This window comes from Homo sapiens, chromosome 15, assembly GCF_000001405.40.
Source record: "Homo sapiens chromosome 15, GRCh38.p14 Primary Assembly".
Taxonomy (NCBI): domain Eukaryota; kingdom Metazoa; phylum Chordata; class Mammalia; order Primates; family Hominidae; genus Homo; species Homo sapiens.
Window position 1 is genome coordinate 73174735 of NC_000015.10, and position 16873 is coordinate 73191607.

Consider the following 16873-nt stretch of genomic DNA (forward strand, 5'->3'; position numbering starts at 1 on the left):
ATATAGATAAGAAAATTATAAACACTCTAATTGGAAAAACGGCAGCATATTTATATACATAATTCACAAAAGAATAAATACAAAAGGCTTGTCATTGTTTGAAAGGATCAAGTCAAATTTGCTATTAATAGATTTCCCTGATTTCATCTTGTTGTACAGATTTATGTTTTCTGGATCTTCCATCACTGTGAATGTATGTTGTTTCCTAAGATTATACATGATTTCCCTCCTTGGGGGAGGTTCTGCTTGACTGGGGTTCTATCTCCTTTTTGTACTGTTGTTCTTCATTTACCTAAGTTATGTAGCTAGTTTAGATTTCTCTTCAGGGCCTGCTCTAGACAGTGCAATAGGCCAAAAAAGTTCTTTTTTAAAAAAGGAAAGGGAGATTGGAAAGGCATAAATAAATCTGTCTCTACTCACATACAAGCATGATTGTCTATGTAGATAATCCCCAAACTGTATTTACAGAGGCTGATACAGCTAATGAGATAATTTAGGATGGCCACAGGATAAAAGGTTAATACACATAAATCAATTTCATTCCTACATACTAGCAGAGAACAACTGGAAATTTTAAAAAATTTAAAGTACCACTTAGAATAGCATCAAAAGTATTTGAAATACCTAGGTATTTATCTAACAGAGCATGAATGAGATTTGCTTACTGAAATCTGTAAAACATTTATGAAAGAAATCAGACTTAAATAGAGAGATAAACCTGTGTTCAGGGAAAAGAAGACAATATTTTTAAGACGTCAAGTTGCCACAAATTCAACACAATCCCAATCAAAATCCCAGCAGGCTGGGCAGATGTTAGGTCAACTGTAAATAAAGCTGCTGTCGTTGCCATTGTTGTTGTTATTTCATAGAACTAGCCTGCAGTGGAGCTTGCTGCTTTGTGATGTAGGGAGTTCCTGTCATTCACACTTTTCAAATACAGATCGCTAAGACCCTTTGTCAAGGATGTCATATAGGAAATTATATCATTAGGTAGGATGCTGGACTAGATCTACTTCAACCCTTCTAATTAAAAATATTATGATCTATTATTTGTAAGTTAGCAATTTACAGCTGTGGGGCATGTGGAAAGGGAGCTACTGGAATATTCAGACTTTTTCAAATGTACTTATCCTTTCCCCGTCACCCTGTAAAACCATTGCATATAATGAGGGATCTTAGTAATAGGAGTGTGTTGCATGAGTGAGCTGTTTAAGGACTCTAATGTGACGTTTATTTTACTTTGTTGTTGTTGTTCTTACTTATCAAGCTGACTGAAAAGGAAAGTTTTATCAATCTTTTCCACTCTTTGAATTCTAATTATAGCTCTTAAAAAATGGTATAAATCTTAGGGAAGTATTCTTTAATATTTATTTTTAGACATTTTTAATTTCTCCAATATAGTCAACTTAGTAAATAGTTCCAAATAAGGAAACTCAGAAATTATCTTTAAAACAGTTAGTTGTACCAGCAAATCATTTTTTAAAGATAATTGTATTCCTAACATGTATTTTTTATTATATATTTATTTTATGCTTTTGCAAAAATATGTGAAAGCTTCAAATAATGAGTAAAAATCCTGTGGATTTTATGATTTAAAAATTGGTTGAAATATGAATAGCTGCCTAGTTCTATTTTCATTAATGTCTTAATTTCCTTTTTATTTTAAAGCTCAACCTGAATTCCTGAAGCAGCCTACTAATATATATGCTCACGAATCTATGGATATTGTATTTGAATGTGAAGTGACTGGAAAACCAACTCCAACTGTGAAGTGGGTCAAAAATGGGGATATGGTTATCCCAAGTGATTATTTTAAGATTGTAGTAAGTATTTTTCAAAGAAGTGTGTTTATTTCTGTAACCTTTAGATATTTTTAAATGTAGTCACCGAGAGATCAGTTATCTTATATATACTAGTTTGTGTACTGCAAATGAAATAGAAGAATTCACATAGAATGTAATACCTTCATTGGCTGATGAGAAAGCTGAGCCCAGAAATACTTTGGTAGCTTATGTAAGATCACATAGCAAGTCAGTGGCTTACCTAAGCCTAGAGTCTAGACTCTTACTTGAACACACTGGCACTCTGAAACACAGCTGCCACCATTTTCTGGCAGATGATTAGCACACATGTGTGTGCGTGTATGTGTGTCCCCAGTTGTCTTCACAGCTCTCTGTTCAAGAAGCAGAAATCTTTCCACACTTCTCCTTGAAGTGTGGAAAGATGATCCTTTTGAAAAACATAATATGTAAGAATGCAACTGACTATACAAAACTTAACCTTAAATCGTATACCGATGCCCAGACCCTTCAAAATAAGGATGACCCAGTGTCGGACAATTGTGGTAGCAATAGTTATAAAGATTCTTTTTTAAAAATGCATTTAAAAAGTGTCAAGTGTATTTAAGAATACTCAGCCATAATTGCTTTTTACTATACTTTATATATAGTAAATGATTCTTAGATATTACCTACTATTATCATCAATATCTAACATTTTAGTAATAGAATTATCCAGCTTTAGTAATAAAGATTAATGACATACCTTGAGATCTATACATGACATTCATAAAAATGATCAGAACTATAGTTGTTAAAGACATAATGTCTCATTACAAATTTGTCATACAAGTAAACATTCTTAGAAATATATTTTCTATTTTTGAAATGCATGATCTCCTGTTGCAAAAAGTAATTTACAAGTATTTAACATTAAAAAGCAATCTGTTATAGTTAAAATAGCCTCTTAAAATCAATATTTGGAAACTAGAAAATTTTTAAATCATATTTATTATACCAATAACAGTAGTTAAAAATTTTTTTTGTTTTTTAAGACAGGGTCTCGCTGTGTCACCCTGGCTGGAGTGCAGTGGTTTGATCATAGCTCACCACAGCCTCAAACTCCTGGGCTTAAGCGATCCTCCTGCCAACCTGAGTAGCTGGAACTACAGGCACGCACTACCATGACCAGCCAATTTTGTATTTTTTGTAGAGATGGGGTTTCACTGTGTTGCTCAGTCTGGTCTTCAGCGCCTGGGCTCAAGTGATACTCCTGCCTCGGCCTCCCAAAGTGCTGGGGTTACAGGTGTGAGCCACTGCTCCTGGCCCAGTAGTAATAGTTGACATTCATATAGTACTTTTTCATTTAAGGAAAGCTCACATGGCTTCATTTAATTTATTGTAGTCTAATCTGTTAGAACTATTGATATTATAGATAGTCTTAGGAAAAATAATACCTTAAATTCACAAATTGGACTTTAACTGTGGTCAGTTGGTATTGCGTGCCAGATCTTTTTCCAGGCAAAGGTGTAGTTTGCAAACAGTGAGAGTATGACTTTCCATGCGTTAAGTTCTTCATCGTGAATGACAGTATGTACTCTTCTATTCAGTTAAATTGGTACCTTGCCAATGCTTTAGTATGAAATTGAGTTAACAAGTACTTGGATAATATTTAATAATTGGATCATAAAAACTTTACTTGTTTTTTTCCTCTCCAAAAAGCATATTTTTGAGATTTTGATCTGGTATTTATCAATTAAATTATGTAATTTTATTTATGCTTTTCTTCTTCAGAAGGAACATAATCTTCAAGTTTTGGGTCTGGTGAAATCAGATGAAGGGTTCTATCAGTGCATTGCTGAAAATGATGTTGGAAATGCACAAGCTGGAGCCCAACTGATAATCCTTGAACATGGTAAGAAGGGCTGAAATAGTCAGATGATAGAGGCTGTGTGCTTGATGAACAAGCACCCATCCGTCCAAATAACTCATGATTGATAACCCATTAGTAAAGGCCAATATGTGGCATAGCTAAGAGAAAAAGAATAGCAGTCTAAATCATTTCTATTACATAAAATTACCTAGAAGCACAATTTTGGATAATGTTGAAAAGAAATTTTTACTAAGAAAAGGAAAACTGAATATTATAGTCTTAATAAATTAATTTTTAAAAGAATTTAGTCATCTTAATCTCACAAATATATTTCTGTCCTATAAAGAAAAACTTCTTTTTTTTCCAATTCTATACACTTTTATTAATACACTTACAAAAAATAACATTCAAACACTGAGAAAACTAAATAACTTTGGAAGCAGAGCTCATTGTTTTCTGCTTACATATAAGTGACAATTCTGGGCTGTTGGCACAAAATAGTCAACATTCATAAAACCCTGACTACTATATATCAAACATAAGTTAAAATCATAGGCAGTAGTTTATCAAATCCACGTTTCTTAGAAAAACTTAGTATTTATTTTGCATTGAAATTTTTAGTTTTTCCAGAATACAATTAATTTACCTTTTCTGATTACCACCAAAAAACCAAGTTTATTATTTAAAAATTCAGATAACAATGAAAAGTATAAAGAAAAAAATCCATCCTGTATCTCAAATTAGGGAACCCACACTGTAATTTGAGCAGAGTTTTAACATAAGGAATTAACATTGATATTGGGATTGGAGTAACAAAGGTTTGACTAGTAAGAAGTAAAGAGAACTCTAGACAATATAAGAATGGCAACTATCAGGAGCAACTACAACCCCTAGGTCTGAGATAGAGCCCTCAGGAAGAGGCCCCTCTTTTTACGGATGAGATCCAGACCCTGTTGGAGAGGGTGTAACCATGGTTTACTGGATGGCAGAGAAGTTGATGTGGTGTTTTGCTCTCTAAACTTGCTCAAAATCTCCTTTCTTGAGGGTTGGGGAAAGCTGCTTACAGAGAGGTATCTCACTGGAGGCATTCTGCTACAAAACCACCCAGTGGATCAGGTGTAAGGGGAAGCTGCTGGCTATAGGAGGCTGCCAGGGTAGTACACTAGAACCAGGAAGGAAACTCCTTTCTTCTGTACTGTATCTCCATTGCCTTCTATTGATAAAGTTTAATACATATGCCAGCTGGCAAAGGAAAAGTATATAAAGGACATGGCTCTGTTTTTGCAGCATAGGCAATGAAATCAGAATTTGGAGCTGAGAGGCAGTAAATTGATAACTGGTACACACTTCAAATCCTACCACCTGGGTACACTGTGTATGGTTTTATAATTTCCTGTTTTGTTGCAACAGCATGCTGTGTATATCTTTCTGTGTCAACAGTTGATCTGCATCAATATTGTTTCTTATTAAATAATATGTATATATATATATATACACTGTTTTATATAACAGATTTTATATTGGTTAACATTTAGATTGTCACCTGTTTTTTCCTATTACAAACAAGGATGTATTGAACTTTTTATGTGATTATTTTCTTATACTAAATTACTAGAAGTTGAATTATTGGATAACAGTTCTGTGTTAAATTGATAAGGGTACCTGTTGGGTGCATTATTCATTTGTTTTAGCAACTGAAACATTTTTCATTTTGAGCATTTCTCAAAAATACATGAAAAAGATGCCACTTTAGACATCTGATCTTTTATTCAAGTCAAATACAATCAGGTATTGGTGTGCCTCCAGGAAGAATTTCTCTGATGATTGTAGTTTGGCCAGGGAAGCTAATTGGCAAAGATGGCACCTACTCTGGCTTTTCACTAACATGGCATATATGTAGGATTTTTGTGTGCTATTTTTTGAAAAATATACTTGAGAGTGCTGTTACAGAAAAGCATAAAATATTAGAACTGCTTTTTTCTTCTTAGGTTTGTATATACCCTCCCCTGTTTATTGGAAATGATTTTAGTAGAAGCATGCCATTTTTCCATCTTGGTGAAATGCCTGAGTACAATTACTAAATAAGGCACTAGCAGAATTAGTGAGGTAGATAGGCTTATTTCTTTTTACTTGTGGCAGTGACTTTTCTTAGTAAACCTCGTAGCTATTTGGGGTATATTTATTTACATGGAACTAAGCAAAGGCACTTCATTATATTTGTGTTTGAGATTACTGTTACAAATCTAACTCTAACAGTAGAAATGGTTAAGTATGCCAGGAAGTTCCTAAACTAATCCTAATTGGGCTTTCCTCTGAAAATATTTGGATAGTGTTAAAATTGTAGTCATAGTGTATTTGCTTCTCTCTTTTTGAGAATAGCGTTTTATGAGCTGATGAAATTTTTTAGTGACGTTATTGGGCATGTATTAAAGATGCATAGATTATAAGAAGGAGAGTAAGTGTCATGTTATTAATTGTGTTTTCTATTTTGCTGTTTTAATTTGCAAGATAAATATTTATACAGGAAAGCTAAAAGAAGGAATACAGTAACTTACTAGATCTGAGCTCTTCTTTTTTAGAGTTTACAATATAATAAGGGATGTAAGAGATATATAAAACTTGAATACCAGTCCAGATGCATAAATAAAGCAGCATACAGTTCAGAAGAGAGGAATTCTGTCTGTGTGATCAGGGAATTTTTTCATGTAAGGTGTCCCCTTTGTAATAGGCCTTGAATTATAAGATTTCTAGATGTTAATTCAAAGGAAGACCTGGATCAATATGGAAATAAAATAGAAGACCTGTTCCTGTAGTAAGGTAGCCTTTAACAGCAGAATAGGATCAGAGTGCATGATTATAAATAATAAAAACAATGCCATGTGTAATGAGTATGATGATAAAGTCAGGTTTAGAGGAAGACAGAGTGCAAGCTGGTTGAAGGAAAATTGTTATGAGGCCATTGTGAGATGATAAATACTTACACTAGAGAAATCGGTGGAAAAGGATCCTACTAAGGAGATTGTGTTAGTCTGTTCTTGCATTGCTATAAAGAAATACGTGAGGCTAGGTAATTTATAAAGAAAAGAGGTTTAGTTGGCTCCCAGTTCCACAGGCTGTACAGGAAGCATGGTGCTGGCATCTGCTTGGCTCCTGGGGAGGCCTCAGGAAGCTTCCAATCATGGTGGAAGGCAAGAGGGGAGCAGGCATCTCACATGGCAGGACCAGGATCAGGAGAGTGAGGTGGGGGGGTGCCACACACTTTTAAACAACCAGATCTTGTGAGAACTCACTATCTCAAGGACAGCACCAAGCCATGAGGGATCTTCCCCCATGACCCAAACACCTCCCCAGGTTCCACCTCCAACACTGGGGATTACCTTTTCACATGAGATTTGGGCAGGGACAAATATCCAGACTATGTCAGAGGTGTTAGTGATTTATCTGATTGAGACTTTATCAACTGATTGAACATTAAACATTGTTATAGAGAAGCCAGAGATACTTCCAAGGTTTACCCAAGTTCTGGGTAACTAGGTGTATTAGTCCATTTTCACACTGCTGTTAAAGACATACCTGAAACAGGGCAATTTACAAAAGAGATTTAATGGGACTTGCCCTTCCACATGGCTGGGGAGGTCTCACAATCATGGCAGAAGGCAAGGAGGAGCGAGTCACATCTTATATGGATGGCAGCAGGCAAAGAGAGAGCTTGTGCAGGGAAACTCCCATTTTCCAAGCCATCAGATCTCATGAGACTCATTCACTATCACGAGAACAGCACAGGAAAGACCCACCCCTATAATTCAATCATCTCCCACTGGGTGATTCCACTGGGAGGTGGAATGGGAATTGTGGGAGTTACAATTCAAGATAAGATTTGGGTGGGGACACATCCAAACCATATCACTAGAAGAATGGTGACACCTTTACAAAAACAGAAAAAGAGGGCAGATCAAAGTGGAAGGAGATTTCCACTTCTGTTTAGGATATAAAGAGGTGCATAAAGAAAATCCCATTCTCACCACATAAAGAGCTTAGTAATCTACAACGTCACAGGTTCTCTTGAGCCCAGCAGAGAGCTGAGCATGCAAAGCAAATATATTAGTTCATTTTCACACTGCTGATAAAGACATACCTGAGACTGGGTAATTTATAAAGAAAAAGAGGTTTAATGGACTCACAGTTCCACATGGCTGGGGAGGCCTCACAATCATGGCAGAAGGCAAAAGGCACATGTTACATGGTGGCAGACAAGAGAGAATGGGAGTCAAGTGAAAGGGGAAACCCCTCATGAAATCATCATGTCGTGAGATTTACTCACTACCACAAGAACCGTATGGGGAGAACCACCCCCATGATTTAATTATCTACCAGTAGGTCCCTTCCACAACACGTGGGAATTATGGGAGCTACAATTCAAGGTGAGGTTTGGGTGGGGACACAGCCAAACCATAACAGCAACCAAATAACCTAAATTCCAAAAAGGACAACCCTCCCCACACAACCCCCTCAAAGGCATAGATCATATGCATTGTTTCACTTTTGGCAGAACACAAGAGAAAGAGACGGCTACTGTAAAAGTGAGTAAGAGGAAAACTCCTAGAGTTTTAACTAAAAGGCCTTTAACTGCAAGGCCAACTATGGCCTAATTTGGAATGTCTGGGGGCCTCAGACAGAATGGGAGTTTACACTTTCTTGCAAACACTTTTCCTTGGGGCTCCACAGAGTACTCCCAATTAAGAGGAGGCAAAAGCAGGAGACTACAGAAAGCCATCTCTGTGGTGTAGGGATGAAGGAAGTGATGATCTGCAGCTGCAGAGAGAGAATGATGCAGAGAGGCCTTTGTGCCTGGGAGACAGGACAAAGGCCTTCCCATTTACTCAGACCCTTCTCCTTTAAGCCTCAAACCAGTGGGGGAGGGGCAGAAAACCTTCTGATTTCATACGTTTCTGAAGGGAGATTAGAAGTCAAACCCCTGTGCTGCTTAGAGGAGGAACCCTCCTGTCCCCAGGATGCAGGCAGAGACTCATTGATGCCGGGGAAAGGGTAGAAGAGAAAACCCTTTACTTCTGAAAGAGGCGCAGAAATCATTTTAGGCCTCAGGATTCTACACTGATACCAAGGAGAGGTCTTTTACTACTAGGGGAAGAGTAGGAAACTTCTACCTAAGACCGATACAAATACAAGGCAGATTTTGACTGCCACAGGAAGAAGAGCCAGAGGGCCTACCTAAGACTGAGGCTGGACCAGAACAATGGAGAATCCTAGCTGCCTCAACCATGAACTTTCTACTGTTTGGGAAAGGTCAAGAGCACAGAGGGATATCCTGTGGTATTGGTATGCTGGAGTGGTTGAAAACTCAGAGGAAAGGAAAAAAAAAGAGAGAGAAACTCTCTGGCTCCTAAGCACAGGACAATGGTAGTCTCCCAGTAGAGGAATTTGAAACCTATAGTATACTTAAGGTAACTATAACAATAAAATCCATTCCAAGCTCAATTCCTGACTAGATTAACTAAACTCTTTCACACTAATGACATGACAGAAAAATAAGCATACCATTTTTCAGGTGTAAATAATACTTACTGTTGTTCAGCATACCGTGTTCAGCATTCAAGCAAAAATTAATAGACTTTAATAAGCCCATCTATTGAGAGAGAAACTAATCATTAGAACTAATTTCAGCCTTTGTGACTTCTATGCAATAGAAAGATGTTCTTAGAAAATATACCATTCAAATTTCATTCTTTATATACCTTTTTTAAAATTAATTAATTAATTAATTTTTTTGAGACGGAGTTTCACTCTTGTCGCCCAGGCTGTAGTACAGTGGCGCGATCTCAGCTCACTGCAGCCTCCGCCTCCCGGGTTCAAGCAATTCTCCTGCCTCAGCCTCCCGAGTAGCTGGGATTACAGGTGCGTGCCACCATGCCTGGCTAACTTTTGTATTTTTAGTAGAGACAGGGTTTCATATATACCTTTATTTTTAAAATTACTTGAGGTATACTCCTACAGACTACAAGATGAGTCAAACCAAGAACTCAAAAACAACACACACTCTTAACATCTGATCCAGCAGTTGCACTTCTTTGTATTTACCTGAATGAGTTGAAAAGTTATGTCCACACAAAACCCCTCAAATGTGTTTGTAGCATCTTTATTCCTAATTACCAAGATGTCCTTCAGTAGGTGAAAGAATAAATAAACCGTTGTACATCTAGACAGTGGAATATTATTCATTACCAAAAAGAAATGACCTACCAGGCCAGGTGCCGTGGCTTACGCCTGTACTCCCAGCACTTTGGGAGGTGGAGGTGGGCAGATCACTTGAGGGCAGGAGTTCGAGACCAGCTTGGCCAACTTGGCAAAACCCCGTGTCTACTAAAAATACAAAAATTAGCTGGGCGTAGTGGTGCATGCCTGTAATCCCAGCTACTCAGGAGGATGAAGCATGTGAATCACTTGAACCCGGGAGGCGAAGGTTGCAGTGAGCCAAGATTGCACCACTGCACTCCAGCCTGGGTGACAGAGTGAGACTCTGTCTCAAAAGAAAAAAAGAAAGAAAAGAAAAAGAAAAAAGAAATGAGCTGTCAAACCATAATGCACTTGAGGAATTATAAATGCAAATTACCAAGTGAAAGAAGCCAATTTGAAAGGGCTAAAAACCGTGTGATTCCAACTACATGACATTCTAGAAAAGGCAAAACTATGGAGTTAGTAAAAAAATTAGTGGTTGCCAGGGTTTGGGAGGAGAGAGCGATGAATAAGCAGAACACAGATGTTTATGGCAGTGAAACCACTCTGTATGATACTATAGGGGAGGATACGTGTCATAAATTTGTCCAAGCCCATAGAATTTGCAACATCAAGAGTGAACACTAATATAAACTATGGACTTTGGGTGATAATGATGTCTCAATACAGGTTATTCAATTGTAATAAATGTACCACTTTAGTGGGGGATGTTGATAATGGGGGAAACTATGCATGTGTAGGGCAGAGGAAATTTTGGTACCTTATGCTCAGTTTTGCAATGAACCTAAAACTGCTCTACACACTTATTAGGATAGTTAAAATCCAAAATACTGACAACACCATCAAACTCTCACAAGGATGTAGAGCAACAGGAACTCTTATTCATTGTTGCTGGGAATGCAAAATGGTACAGCCATTTTCGAAGATAGTTTGGCAGTTTCTTACAAAATTAAACATTTTTATCATAAAATTTAGCAGTTGTGCTCCTTGATGTTTACCCAGATGAGTTGAAAATTTATGCTAACACAAAATTTACACACAAATGTTTAGAAGAATTTTACTCATTATTGCCAAAACTTGGAAGCAACCAAAATATCCTTTGGTATCTGAATGGATAAACAAAGTGTGATACATCTATACAATGGAACGTCATTCATTGAACAGAGCATCTAAGATGGGACAATATCAGAGGCTATAACATAAGTAAATTATAAGTAAATGGGAGTCTCACAGGGAAAACAGAACAAGGACAGGGAGAAACAAATGTTTGAATAGATAATGGCCAAGAATTTTAAAAAATGAATTAGATCAAACCACACAACCAAAAAGAAGCTCAGACAACCCCCAAGCAAACTAAATACCATGATGATGATAATAATAATAATAAAAAGAAAATATGCCTGTACACATCATAGTCAAACTTCTGGAAACCAAACATGAAAATATCTTGAAGGCAATTGGAAATTTAAAAAGAAGAAAGACACATTACATACAGAGGAACAAAGATAAGAATTGCAGCAGACTTTTTGCCAGAAAAAAAAAAAAATGTGAGCTAGAAGACACTGAGCAGTAGTTTTTAGTTTAAAAAAAAATAATTAAGGGGCCATGGTAATCTTCACTGTATTGTTCCAATTTTAGTATTAGTGTATGTGCTGCCCAAGTGAGCACAGAGCAACTTTTTAAGTCCTTAAAAAAAAAGGCAACCAAAAAAAAGGCAACCAAAACTATACCCAGCAAAAATATCTTTCAAAAATTAAAGTGAAATAAAGACCTTTTCAGAACAGAAACTGAGAATTTGTTGCTGACATACCCATGCTACAAGAAATGTGAAAGGAGAAAAACAAAGTGGGCTAGAGTGTTTTTAAAGTAAATATAAAAATATATTTTTAAGATTAATTGCTTTAAGAGATAATTGACTGTCTAGACAGGCCCACAAAATTTTTTTCTTCTTTTTTTTTCACTCTAAATAGTTTATTTCCACCTTCACAAACTCATGCACCTCTGGCCATTATGCAAGGCACCATGAATTAAATAGTCATATCAGTATATATTTGTCTTACATGATTCAAGATAAAGTGAATTTTAAAAGCAAATGGGTGCCAATGATGGGGAGGTGAGGGGAATAGGGCAGGCAGCAATAGGGTAACACGCAACAAAATTTTCTGTAAAGGGCTAGATAGTAAATATTTTAGGCTTAATGGGTCAGTCTCTGTCACAGCTACTTAACTCTACCATTCTAGCGCAAAAGCCACCATATAGATCAAACAACCTTGGCTGCTCCGGTGAAACTTTGTTTACAAAAACAAGTAGCAGGTCCTAATATGCTTACTCTGGTCTAACACAGAAATAGTTGATAACATGAAATTTAGAAGTGTGACAGAATGGTATATGTAGTGTAGTCCGATGTGTAGGGTAGAATTGAAAATAAACTATTGTAAGATTATTACTGCACACAACAATACTGTGTGTCGAAGATGCTCAGATACTTTCAATATTATTTTTAAACAAGACTCATGAAGATAACAACTATTACAAAATATTTCCTTTTTCAATAATTCACTCCATTATTTTTCTAGTTAAGCTCAGATAGTGATCACAGAGATATGTTAGTAAACTATCTGTAGTTTGTAGTTCTCCCTTTAACAGTTCCTTTTTGGAGTGACTAGGGCACATTTCCTCCTCATTATTCATACACCAAGTCTGACTTTCTTCACTTATCCTTATATTCTTCATTCTCCTGCTCCCTGTTTGCCTTTTTTTCCTCCCACTCCTTCCCCCTTTTTATTTAAAAAATTTTAAGTGAAACAGACATCCACTGATGAGAAATAACTTAGAATCACAAACTATCACGGCTGAAAGATACGTATCATGTAGTACAGTGGTTGGCAAACTTTCTGTTAAGGGCCAAAGAATAGATACTTCAGGCTTTACCTGACATTTGGTCTCTGTTTACATTGCTCACCTCTGCTATTATAAGTTTGAAAACCACCACAGACAGAATACAGACAATCTGTAACAAATATGTGTAGCTGTGTTCCTGTAAAACTTTATATACAAAAGCAGGAAGTACACTGGATTTGGCCTGTGGGCACAGTTTGCGAATCTCAATCTAGTCCATCTTCCCTTGAATATCCTTACATCAGTGTTTCCCAAATTGTGCCCTTTAAGATGTATTAATGGGTCTACTAAAAAGCAAATAAAATGAACAAAAAGGATGCTCCACAGTCCAACAGATTTTGGGACTGCTATATATAAACATTATATTCTACGTTGGAAATTCGCAATGCTAATGAACACAAATGGAAAGAGGCTCAAGGTGGGCCAGTTTTCATCATTTCTCCTTCAGGCTGCCCAAGCGTCTGCCTTTCTCCTACCAAATCCAGACATATCAGTGAAGTCTGTCAGAATTTGCTATATTTACTTCTTGCAAGATAACCCAATTCTCCTGTGAAAGGAATTGTTTGTAGACTCTTAACTTCTGTCTGTCATGTTTTTGGCAGAAAGTCATCAATGTTATATCTGGTGGCTTTTCTAAATTTTACCACTGATTAAAAGGTGAGTTTAGTATTTAAAAAAAAAAAGACTTTACTAATTATATAAAAGTAATACATGATTATTTTAGAACACTGAGAAAAATATCACTGCCCAAAGATAACCAGTGTTAACATTTTGGTATGGAAATGTCTAAATGTGTATATACACTTTTTAAAATTAAATTCAGATTATTTGGTATATATTGTTTTGTATCTTGTTTTTCTACTTGTTGTTATATCCTGAGATCTTCCTGATATCATTACAGGGGTTCAAAGGCATGGTTTTTAATGGCCAAAAAACTTTTCCATCATAAGGTTGTACTATAATTATTTTAACTACTTCCTCTATTTTGGGACATTTAAGTCATTTCCTATTCTTCTGTTCTTTATCCCTGTCTGTTTTTCCTTTTTCAATTACTAATGCTCATATTAGTAGTCTTTGTCCAAATCTCTGATTCTTTCCTTAGGAAAAATTCCTAAAAGAACAATTAATGGTTCGAGTCAGTAATTTATGTAATTGTCAAAATGGTTTTAGTAAATGATGTAACAATTTACATTTTTACTAAGAGTGAAGAAAGGATACAAACCTAATCACACATTAGCCAACTATTAAAAAGTAATGTTCATTTAAAAATACAAAATTTAGGCTGGGTGCAGTGGCTCACCCCTGTAATCCCAGCTGGGAGCTGAGGCAAGAGGATTACTTGAGCCCAAAACTTCAAGACTTGCCTGGGCAACATAGTGAGACCCCATCCTCACAAAAAGTTAAAAAAAAAAAATTGGCCAAGTGTGGTGGCACACACCTTTGGTCCCAGGTACTAAAGAGGCTGAGATGGGAGGATTGCTTGAGCCTGAGAGGTCGAGGCTTCAATGAGCTGTGATTGCACCACTGCACTCTAGCCTGGGCAACAGAGCAAGACCACCACCCTACCCATGCAAAAATAAACTTCATTATTAGGCAAAAATGACATCTTACCCATTGAATTTTATATCTTTGATTGTGAAGTGGAATATTTGTCATATGTTTAGAAATACAGTTACTCCTTGGTATACATGGGAGATTGGTTCCAGGACCCACACATATATGCCCAGATCTGTGCATATTCAAGTACTGTAGTCACCTCTGTAAGACCTGAGTACATGAAAACTAGGCTGCCTGTATAGTCGGGTTTTGCATCCTGCAAATACCGTATTTTTTGTTGCGTTTGTTTGAAAATAAAAATCACCATGTAAGTGGAACCATGCAGTTCAAAACCGGCTTGTTGAAGGATCCACTGTAGTCTGTCTTTGCTCTTCTGTGAGTTGTATTCTTCTGTTAGTTATTGAAAAACGAAATCAATCTCTTGTGATGGTGCTTATCTTCAAAACCTTCTTTAAAAATAATGTTGAAAGTATTTGACTGTGCATCTTTGATAGTTTTATTTCTGTAGGGAGAGTTTTCTGATTCCCACCTGAAGTGTGTGGCTATATATACTGGCCATAGGCCAGCTGGCTAGTGCTGGGCTGCAAGAAGCTGCGTTGGAGCGTCCACAGTAGGCCTGTGGTATACTTAACATGACTATTAGGTTAATTATCAGCTTTAAACATTAAATGAAACTTAATAATTATAGTTAAAATATATAAAACATTTTTGCATATCACTGGAAAACAGAATTTCTGAGCAAATTGTGAAGTAGAATTTGACTTTTGTTCCTAGCATGCTTTCTTAATCAAAACATTTAAAATACAACTTTTAATATTTAACTTCACTTTTATGCATTTTCGGTAACAGCAGCTCTTGATTTTAGAAGATCTTGTATCTTTTAAAAATATTTAACTGAACATAAAACAGGATTATTTTTATTTGCTGCCATTTCAGATTAACATTGCCTGTCATTTTATGCTAAAATCCTTTGTTTTTTATAATTATCTATTAAATTACATTTTCAAAAAAAAGCATTGGCAGGTACATTGTTATTATTATTTAAATTATTACTGGTCAATTAAGAGTAGTAGGAATTAAGGTAAAATGTCTGTATCTTTTGTCCATTAACTTTTTATTGGCCTTTCTTCCTGTCAGTTGAATTTAAAAATAGATTGCGAAATTATCATGTGAGACTGGAATGTGAAAACATAGAAATACACTTTCTTTTTCTGTCCTTTCATACCACGTCTGATAATTGCCAAATTTTAGTTCTAGTAAAGGAAGAAGGATTCATGAAAAGGGAGTAACATCAACTTGTTTTTAGTAAAGGAAACTTACACTTTACCAGCTCCTTAAATGACTGCTGGGATGTTATGGCCATAGTAGATAAGAATACACACTGAGCATCCCCCACCCTTTTTTTGACAGAAATGTTTGTAAAAAATTCCAAATAGTATCTGAGGTTAGCATTGAATAATAGAAGTTCTGGAATAAGTGACTAATGGCCTGGCATGATTAAAAGTTGGCTAGATAGCAGGAAATTGTTACTCATTAGTGGAATATTTTAATTTCAAAGCACTAGGATGTACAGTAGTTGGTGTTGATGTTAATTAAAGGATAAGTTCTAATCAGTTATTTTGCTTTTTTGTAACGGTAATTATAACTTTAGGGAGAGTTTTATTCAAGGTAACTGGTGTAATTTGACTTCTTAATCATGAAATTCATGTCTAGGAACTTTCTAAAGACTGAATATGTATCTGCTGTCACTGCTTGGGTTCTAGTTCATGTCTGCTGTTAATGACTGGATTACATATTGTAATTCTGTGATTTTTTATTTTCTATAAAATAAAGGAATTAAATTTAATGATCTCTTAGGTCCCATATCACTCCAAATACTCTGTTAAATGCAGTTGTTTTACAAACATATGCATTTAATGTAAAATGTGCTTCAGAACGCTTTTTCCGTATAGGTATTGAAATAGATATGTTGTTTGCAGACAGATTGAGGCATTTCCAGTTAATGATTTTATGTAACCTGTCATAACTCGTATAATGAAACAAACCTTGTGCTAAAAGTCTGACATATTGGATTAATGTCCCAGTCCCACTGTGGATGAGGTGATTAACCTCTCTATGCATCAGTTTTGTTACCTATAACTCTAAACAGTCATCTCTGCACAGCACACCTTTGAGGGGCAAATGGAATAATATATGTAAAGCATTTTGTAAATTGTTAAGTACTCTGTAACTTTAGGATAATAGTAATTGGAAAGAACATAGAAAGACAGAGTATCGATGAGAATTCAATAGTCAGCATTAAAGGAGATTAAAAGTGAAGATAAAAGCTTAACTTTATGAAGCAAAGTTTGAAGGTTTTTTCAAAATAGACAACAGAAATCTTTAGGATAATAGTAACTTTAGGATAATAGTAACTTTAGGATAATAGTAATTGGAAAGAACATAGAAAGACAGAGTATCGATGAGAATTCAATAGTCAGCATTAAAGGAGATTAAAAGTGAAGATAAAAGCTTA

The 16873-nt window shown here is 35.9% G+C and overlaps 1 protein-coding gene across 29 annotated transcripts in view; it reads left to right on the plus strand.

Annotated features, from left to right (window-relative positions):
- Positions 1-16873, plus strand: part of NEO1 (neogenin 1) — a 253515-nt gene that overhangs the window by 123043 nt on the left and 113599 nt on the right. For all 29 annotated transcript variants that reach the window (XM_047432591.1, XM_011521628.3, XM_011521633.4 and 26 more), the window contains 2 exons: positions 1669-1823; positions 3573-3693. In XM_047432591.1, coding sequence (XP_047288547.1) covers positions 1669-1823; positions 3573-3693 — 276 coding nt within the window. The remainder of the gene's footprint in view (positions 1-1668; positions 1824-3572; positions 3694-16873) is intronic.